The 9,924-nt window shown below is 44.8% G+C and overlaps 1 annotated feature.

Moving 5' to 3' along the window:
• Window positions 323–493: a silencer, noted in NCBI's record as "fragment chr1:4957340-4957510 (GRCh37/hg19 assembly coordinates)". NCBI's record gives its function as "represses an EF-1alpha promoter that drives an FKBP-Casp9 reporter gene in an ReSE screen in phorbol 12-myristate 13-acetate-treated (for megakaryocytic differentiation) K562 erythroleukemia cells {active_cell/tissue: K562(+PMA)}" and the evidence as "EXISTENCE:reporter gene assay evidence [ECO:0000049][PMID:32094911]".

Here is a 9,924-nt window from a genome sequence, read left to right as displayed (position 1 = left end):
TTTATAAAACAATCAGCTCTTGTGAGAATGCACTCACTATTATGAGAACAGCATGGGAGAAACTGTCCCCATGGTCCAATCACCTCCACCAGGTCCCTCCCTTAACACCTGGGGATTACAATTCAAGATGAGACTTGGGTGGGGACACAGAGCCAAGCCATAGCAGTCACTTTGCTTCACTTCACTCAGCCAAGAAACAGCCATTTGGGGTTTTAGGGCAGCTCCATTTCCTCTGTGTCTCTGCAGTCAACTGTTCCAGCCAAGCACGTGCTCCCAGAAGATGTCCACAGGGCAGAATCACTGGAGATCCTGGGCATCCCCTGCATTCTGCTCCTGCATGACTTTTGGTGATGGGACAGAAGCCTACACTTAGGCAATGTCCTGAGTCACCAGAGACCGAGGAAGTGGATGGACACAGAGACCATTTCTCCATGAAGGTGGCAGCTCGCCCTGTGGCCATGGCGTGGCCTGGAGGGAAGACAGTGCTGAGCACAGCCTGTGTCCTCACTGTGTGTTTAGTGTGTGGACAAGTGTGCCTCTTCCCGCCTCTCCCTCCTGCTTCTGTGAAGCCAGCACAGAGTCCTCCTCCTGTGCCTGCTTGGCTGGGTGTCACAGACATGGGGAACGTCAGGGTGGCAGAGGCCTTTGAAAGCCATCCAAGGCGAGGAACCGAAAGCACAAAGTGTCATTATTGCTGTCACTGCCGATAGTCCTTCCCGGGGATGGCAGGGGTCCTGGATGGCGAACAGAACGCAGAGGTGCGATTAGCTAAATTTAGCGCAGGACACAAAAGTCTGAAGCTTTGAGCTTCGTCTCGCTTTGACAAATGATGAGCTAGGAACCGCTGCCCATCTTTTGATTTCATTCCCTTGGTGGCCTGAGGAGTTGGGAGAGAATTACTTTCAGATGAGGATCGTCCATGTTTGCATAGCACACGTTTCCATGAGGCTGCAAAAGCATGCTTTATTACATTTTCCTTTGAAATATAATGCTGCCATTTAAAGGCAAGAACATTTGCCATGCCTTAAAAATGCCATGTGAGTTAAGGCCAGAGCAGAAAGCCCTTGCGGCATGAAATCCAGGTGGGAGCCACCAGCGTCCTCCCCATTCCTGGACCCAGAACCTATGGTTTACAAAACCTGCAGAGACCAGAAGACATGTGATATATTAGTCAGCTTAGGCTCCCGTAACAAAATACTGCAGACTGGGTCATTTAAACAGCAGAAACACATTGTCTCCCAGCTCTGGAGGGTGGAAGTCTGAGATCAAGGTGTCTGCAGGGGTGGTTCTCTCTGAGGCATCTCTCTTGGGCTGGTAGATTTTCTCCCTGGGTCTTCACATCTTCCTATCTCATGTCTACATCTAAGACTCCTCTTTTTTTTTTTTTTTTTTGAGATGGAGTCTTGCTCTGTCACCTAGGCTGGAGTACAGTGGCATGATTTCTGCTCACTGCAACATTTGCCTCCCCGGTTCAAGCAATTCTCTGCCTCAGCCTCCCAAGTAGCTGGGATTGCAGACACCCGCCGCCACTCCTGGCTAAGTTTTGTATTTTTAGTAGAGTCTGGGTTTCACCATCTTGGCCAGGCTGTTCTTGAACTCCTGACCTCATGATCCACCCACCTCGGCCTCTCAAAGTGCTGGGATTACAGGTGTAAGCCACTGTGCCTGGCCTTAAGACTCCTCTTTTTATAAGGATACCAGTCCTATTGGATTAGGGCCCACGCTAACAGCCTCGTTCTAACTTAACCACCTCTTTAAAGGCACTGTCTTCAAACACAGCCACATTTTTAGGTACCGGAGGTAGGACTTGAATATGTGAATTTGGTTGGGGAGTGGAAGGTGTGCGATTCAGCCCTAACACCTGGTGTTCTGTGGGGCAGAGCAGAAACAGAAAACATGAATCTGTCACTGGCCAGCAGCGCTGAGACAGCTTCTCCCCAGCTCCTGGGGACTGCAAAGTCCCCTGTTCCGTTCTGAGTGCCGTGCTCTCCGGTTTGTCTGTTTTTTTATCTGCCGCTTGCTCAGCATGGTGGCCATTGGCAGGTTCTTCCTGAGGTGGAGGAATGGCCTGTGGTCCCAGATGTGCAGGATTATTGTGAGCCAAGGCTCTGGGCGGGGGGCCTGCTTGCAGACACAGACTCCACATCCATGTCCCTAATCTGGGCATAGGTGGAGATATGTTTGAAACCAGGAAAAGGAATGGAGTTGGGAACAGGAAATCCATCTACCAACAAAGCTCATTCAAGAACAAAGGCAATTAAGTGGTAGGTCATTAACAGCGGAAAACAGCCTTTCTTTTAAAAAGAAATCAGCCAGTGAAATGAGTTTGCCTTCTTCCTCACTTACTGAGACATTCAAAGCAAGGTGGCTTAGCGATGTTACGTCCACCCAAGCATCTGTCATTGTGGCCGATGTGGGTGGGAGTGTGTGTGTGTGTGTGTGTGTCTGCGCACGCCTGTGCTGTCTTCCTAGAGAGACTTCGCTAGCACCCACCTCCTCAGCACATTCAATTCTGACAGCCTGCAGACCTGCTACCTCCTGCAGAAAAAGTACTGAGGTGGGAGAAATTCGGAGAAGAGACACGTAAAAACATAATAACAATAACACTGTTTGATGAATGTTCTCCCATCAAACCTCCAGAGCATAGCCTGGCAGCGTGAAGAAGGCAATTGTCGGAAAAAGTCTACCACTTATCCTCTCTAACCTATAGGCCCCATTTAGCCAATTAATCTTACTTATAAAAGGACAAGCAAACAATTTAAGTTTATGTGGTTTCAGTTTTGGTCATTTTTCTGCTGTTAACAGACAGGGTCATTCTTCCTGATAATTAAGACTCTTATAGTCAATAAGACCCCACTATTAAATTTAACTAACATTGATGGCCAAAACTCTGGTTGCCATCTCTACCCCCCACTGCTGGGCTTTCCCTCTCTCTGTGAATAGTTCAAGTGCAGCTTTCTGCACCTCCAGCCTCACTAAACACCACGTCCTTATAAATCACAGGCTCCGGCTTTTGCTAGCTGCTGGAGGAGGAAGCGGGTATGCAGAGTGCTGCTGGTCATGACTGGGAAGTGAGACATAGCAGCCAGGTGTTTTAGTTTAACCCAGAACTGTTTACAAGCGAAACAAAACAAAATCCTTTGGATTCTGCTTCTTAATCTCACTATTCCAGATGGCTCCTCTTGTTTCCCAAATCCAGCTTCACAGCACTGTGTACCCCACTCACTGCCACCACCTCCACAGTAAGCCCTTGAATGCCCCCTTTTGTGCCCATCACACAAGGAGTCTTTCTTTCCTCCCTTCTTCCTCCTTTCCTTTTTCCCACATATTTTCTCTAAGGTACTTGGAGCATCAAAGATGGATCAGAAGTACACCTAACCTCACTGATGCTACACTTGAGTAGGGGTGACAGGAATTCTAACAGGAGACACGGACAACATAAAAAGTCAAGGGCTTTAGAGTTGGGTAGGTTTGGGTCTATGCCTGAGTGCCTGACTGTGAGATATTTTTTTTTTTTTGACAGAGTCTTGCTCTGTCTCCCAGTCTGGAGTACAGTGGTGCGATCTCAGCTCACTGCAACCTCTACCTCCTGGGTTCAAGCAATTCTCCTGCCTCAGCCTCCCAAGTAGCTGAAACTACAGGTGCACACCACCATGCCAGGCTAATTTTTGTATTTTTAGGAGAGACGGGGTTTCACTGTGTTGGCCAGGCTGGTCTCGAACTCCTGACCTCAAGTGATCTGCCCACCTTGGCCTCCCAAAGTGCTGGATTACAGGTGCAAGCCACTGCTCCCGGCCTGACTGTGAAATCTTGAAAAATAAATGCCTACTTTTATTGTGGTAAAATGTATATAACATATAATGTACCATATTGACCATTTTTAAGTTGACCATTTCATGGCATTGGGTGCATTCACATTGCTGTGCAACCATCACCACTATCCATTCCCAGAAATTTTTTGTCTCCCTAAACTGAAACATTGTATCCAATAAACACTAACTCCCATTCTCTCTCTCCCTAAGGGCACTCAGCATCTTACTGTCTGTATGAATTTGATGACTCTAGGTCCTTCATATGAGCAGAATCATATGGTGTTTGTTCTTTTGTGATTGACTCATTTCACATGCCAAAATGTCCCTGAGATTCATCCATATCATAGCATGTGCCAGAATTTCTTTTTATTTTTAAGGCTAAATAACATTCCATTGTATTGTTGTAGTTCAACCCAGAACTGATATTCCACAATTCCTTTATCCATTCATTCATTGATGGGGAGGTGGGGAGTGGGTGGTAACCTTTTGATGCGTATTCAGGTAAATGCTTTTGAAATGCACTTTCCCCTCCCGTGAGAAGTAAATTAAAATTTTATCTAGATGGCTGGTAAATTGTATTACTTTTTTTAAATTTAAATTTATTTTTATTTTATTTATGTATTTTTTTCAGATGGAGTCTCACTCTGTTGCCCAGGCTGGAGTGTAATGGCACGATCTCCGCTCACTGCAAGCTCTGACTCCTGGGTTCACGCCATTCTCCTGTCTCAGCCTCCCAAGTAGCTGGGACTAGAGGCACCCACCAATTTTTGTATTTTTTGTATTTTTTAGTAGAGACAGGGTTTCACTGTGTTAGCCAGGATGGTCTCGATCTCCTGACCTCGTGATCCACCCACCTCAGCCTCCCAAAGTGCTCAGATTACAGGCGTGAGCCACCGTGCCCGGCAGCCGTAAATTGTATTAATATGTAGTAGGTGCTCTGTAATGAGTAGCTGCCATGATCTTGTCATACTGTCATTGTGTCCAGAGAAATCGCTCAGCAGAGATAAATCAGAGAAACTTGTATGGTACAGGAGGCACTTGAACTGTGCACAGCAGAAAAGGTATGTGTGAGATATGTGGATGAGCACTGGCCGTCACTGTAGGGAAAGACATCAGGGTGAGAAGAGTGCAGAAGGGTGTGTGAGTGAGTACAGGAGACAGGGAATCATCCCATGTGGTTGGGACACAGGGATGACAAGTCAACTGTTGGAGTGCTGTGGTGGAGTTCTGAGTGTCAGGTTGGAGCACCTGGGCTGGTTCTAATTGGGTAAGGAATATAAGTTGTGCAGTTACTCAGGTGGTCTCATGGTATGGGATGTGACCAGATCCATTTGGGACATGATGATGTTAATAATAACTGGGAAAGAGTGGAAGAAAGAATATTACTTAGGTAATGACTTAGGGGTGAAGACTCAAGAGTAGTAGAATGGAAGGGAGACTGTATTAGTCAGCTATTACTGAGTAACAAGCACTCACAAAATCCAAAGGTATACAACAATGAGCACTGGTTCCTCTCACATTTCTAAGTCAGCTAGGCTGAGCTCTGGGGTCATTTCCTTGGCCTTGACTCTTAGCTGTACTGGGATCCAGTCCACCTTGTGTGTGTTCATCCTGGGGCACAGACTGTGGGGGCAGCAGTTATCTACGGAAAGCTCTTCTCACTGCAGTGGCAAATGCAAGCATGAAGACCTCTCAAGGCCGGGGCTCAGAAGGGGCACAAGTCATTTTTGCCTATGTTCCCATGGCCAAAGAGAGTCACATGACAAACCCAAAGACAAGGAATATTATCCTCTGCTTTTACTATTAGGTTGGTGCAAAAGTAGTTGTGGTTTTTGGTATTACTTTAAATGCTAAAACCCACAATTACTTTTGCACCAACCTAATAGAAGAAATGGCAAAGCCAAAAGGCACAAGAGGCAGAGAGGTAAAGAATTGGGCCAATAGTTTAGGCTACAGAAAGTGCACTAAAATAATGTGCTCTCTACAAATCAATGGCGTCTTCTGCATTTTACACATTATTCTTAAGAGAAAGTAGTAGCTAGAAACCCTGATTAGCCCTGCCAGGGAAGCACAGAGCATGTATTCTCTGGTATCTTCATTTTGCTCAGCTTAATACCTGTGAGAATCATCTAGGTTGCATGTATGAGTAGTTCATTCCTGTCAGTGTTGAGTAGTATTCTTTTGCATAAACTTGTAACTTGTCCATTCTCTTGTAGGTGGGCATTTGGATTTTTTCCGGTTTGAGAATCTTATGAATTAGGCTACTGTGAACATTTATATACAGGTTGCAATTTTTAAACACATATTTTCATTTCCCTTAGATACATACCAGAAGGGGAACTGCTGAATCATAGGGTAGGTGTATATTAGTTTTAGGAGACCCTAAGAGTTTTCCCAAGTGCTTGTACCATTTTACCTTCTCAGCAGCCAACATAGCTGAGTTCTGGGTGATCCAGTTTCTTGCCAACATTTAGTATTTCTGGGTTTTAAAAGCTAATTTTGTATGTGTCCTTATGGTTTTAATACTTCATTGTGGCTTTAATTTGAATCTTTTATGACTAATGACATTGTGCCTCTACATGTCCCTATGTGCCATTTGTCAATCTTCTGTGAACTCTCTATTCAAGTTTCCTCCATTTCTGTTTTCTCTTGCTAGGATTTGAACATGTCCCCCAAAGTTCATGTGTTGGAAGCTTAATCCTCAATGCAGCAGTATTGAGAGGTGGGACTTTTAAGGGATGATTAGGTCATCAGGGCTCTATGACCCATGAATGGATTAAGGTCACGATCACAGAAGTGAGTTTGTTATCACAGAAATGGTTTGGATTTGTTAGAAAAGTGAATGAATCCCCCTCTTCCTCTCTCTTGCACATGCTCTCTAATTATGTGATGCCTTCTGCCATATAATGACACAGCAAGAAGGCCCTCAGCAGATGAAGCCCCTCAATCTTGGACTTCACAGCCTTCAGAACCATGAGCCAAATAAACCTCTGTTGTTTATAAACTGTCTTTTTTTATGGTTGTGTGTCTTTCTATTCTTGAAATGTAGGACAACTCCCATTTTTCACTCTTTACCCATCAATTCTGAGGTCATCATCTAAGAAAACTGGACATTAGGGCCTCAACAACTTCAGTGAAGCAGCCGGTTTTCCAGGGGGAGGGGAGGACAGTATCACAGAACTTAGGGACCCCAAGAGAAAATCTTCCCATTGTTGAGCTGGCAATATTAATCAGAGGAAAAATCTATTTTCCTAGATGGGAAGGTAAATTATTAGGGTTTGTTAGTAGAAATAGAATGTATGTAGTCACTTGATTTAGGGGAATAGACTCAGGCCCCCATGATCTTATAGAGGAATAAACAGTTAAGGAGGGTAAACCCATGGTAACATGTAAGTGAGGCAAATCAAACAGATCATAAATTTATTTAAACAGCCTCAAGGACCTCGTAATCCTGAGACAGAAACTACTCCCAGTTGCCCTAACAGTTAAAGACTCATGGTACGGTGACAACACTGTAATAAGGATAAAATGCACACAAATAAAATAGAGAGAATGGTGGAAATTGTCGGGGTCACAGGTGGTCTCGTTAGCTCCCCTTTGCAGGGGAGAGTCAGGGAGGGTTCATGCTATGGAGGGCGGGTTCAAGAAGTAAGTACAATGGGGAATGTCAAATATGGGATGGAGTCACCTGAAGTAGGTGAATGCTTTGCTCAGAGCCAGTTATCCCAAGGAGAGAAGACTTCCAAGGAAAGGACAGCACATCCCAAAGTCCTGAGGCAGGAAGAAACTAGGTATTTGGGGGTATAAAAGGAAAAGTGTGCTGGAAGCTGATGTGTGAAGCAAGAGTGTTGTGGGGAGAGAAAGGAGGTCATCAGCACCTTCTGATCTCAAAGCCTCTGTCTCATAGACTTGAGAAGGGTGTAATGGAACCCACTTCATGGAGGTGTTTAATGTTTTAAGTAAGATCATTGCTATAGAAACAGCCAGCACAAGATGTAGGCAAAGAGTAGGTGATCAATAAGTATTTGTTGAATAAAATAGATGAATTACAGCTTATTGCAAAGTGTGACTATAGTAGAACCCATGTCAATAGGAAGCAGAAATATTTGAGAGACCACGTTACCCTAGCAGTTTTGGGGCTCAAAAGGCCCCATGGACTGGCCCTGCTGGGGATCTCAGAGACCCCCATAGACTAACCTCTTGATTTCTGACACAGAGACCGGTGCTACCTGGACGATCTAGCACTGTGCATTGATTTTTTTTCTTTCTTTCTTTTTTTACCCACTATAATCATACTTTGGATTCATAGGACAACATTTGCATTCTGAGATGAAACCTCTACAAAGCATCAATCTTTATTATGCCTTGTTGACAGATCCACCCAAGACTCATTTACCACATTTTTGATTTTTAAGCCAGGTAATGGGGTGCGAAGATGGATAACTTGTGATCTGTGGCTTCCCTTCAGGCACACTCGAAAAATTGTAAAATATTACAATGCTTAAACACATTCTCTAGACATTTTAAAGTATGCTGTGGAATGTCTGCACAGTCTTGCCATTCAATTCGACTATGACTGGGAACTCACACTCCTGCCTACCCTCACCCTGATTATGAGATCCCTGAAAGCCTTGGAGATGAGCACCAGAATTGTCAGGGAAGGTAAAGAGCCCCAGCTTTCACATCTTCTCACCTATAAACACTCTCCAGTTGGAAAAGTCCTTGTAGATACCTAAGTCCAATCTCTGCCATGCACTTCAAGTTAGCAGTGGCCTTTTCCAGCATCAGTGTACTATTGGTTGCTTCCAAGGAAAAGCACTCAGGGATAACAAGGAAGTGGAGACAAGTCTACAGCAGTGTGGTAATAAGTGTTTTGTAACCAGCTCTCTGGGGGGGATAGGGACTTATTTGTAGTGTTTACTTGATTACCTTGTGTGAATACTCCCACAATGGCTAATTCCAAGCTACTGGCATAACATCACTCAACACAGAGTTGGAAAGAGATGCTTGTCAGGGGTTCTCACCAGCTAATGTGAGCTGGTCTTAGCCACCCTGGGAGCATTCTGTTTCTCAAGGTGAAGTGTTTGGGGAGACTCTCCACCTCCTACTTGTCCCTGAGGTAGGATTTGTTTCTTTATTGGATATCCCCTGTGAGTATAACATTACCTAGGTGCCTCCAGGAAACTCACATTGTAACAGAAGACATGGGGAGGTAGAGACAGCATTACATCACAGCTGGAAGAGGATTTTGCATGTTCCACTGTAGGAATGAGAGTGGGGCTCCTTGGACTCTCCAAATTGTGTCTTCTTAGACCCTCACCCTTCACACCTGATATAGTTTGGCTGTGTCCCCACCGAAATCTCATCTTCAATTGTAGCTCCCATAATTCCTTCATGTTATGGGAGGGACCCAGTGTGAGATAATTGAATCTTGAAGGTGGTTTCCCCCACACTGTTCTGATGGTAGTGGATAAGTCTCATGAGATCTGATGGCTTTATAAAGGGAAGCCTCTTTTGCTTGGCTCTCACTTTTGTTTGCCACCATGTAAAACATGCCTTTCACCTTCCACCATGATTGTGAGGCCTCCCCAGCCACATGGAACTGTGAGTCCATTAAACCTCTTTTTTTTTTTTTCTTTTGCAAATTGCCCAGTATCCAGTGTGTCTTTATCAGCAGGTTGAAAATGGACTAATACAACACCTATGGAAGAAAAGCAAAATAGGTGAATGGGAGAGGAGCGCCCCCTGTGAACACTGAGCTGCCCCACCACAGTGATGGAGAGGTGCCTGGAAGCCACAAAAAAGAGACATTCATGGCCCTCTGCTTCTCAAGGTCCAAGGTGATGAGGTGGAAATGAGAAGCCAGCTACCAGCTAAAACAACCACTTATATAGCCCCCATTCCATTGTCTTTCTATTCTTTAAGATGAGTTTTTTCCCCTTTGTCAGCCCTCCTCAGTTCTATCTACTGACTGTCCTTCCTGATGTTTGTCTTCTGAGTTCTTTAACCAATCAGATCCCATGGAGATAATCAGATTTATCTGATTATTATAAAGAGAATTATTTCCGTGGATCCAAGCAAAACACAGAGACTTTGTTTACTCCATGCCTAC

Source organism: Homo sapiens, chromosome 1 (genome assembly GCF_000001405.40).
Source record: "Homo sapiens chromosome 1, GRCh38.p14 Primary Assembly".
NCBI lineage: Eukaryota > Metazoa > Chordata > Mammalia > Primates > Hominidae > Homo > Homo sapiens.
This window is presented reverse-complemented; position numbering and strand designations above follow the sequence as displayed.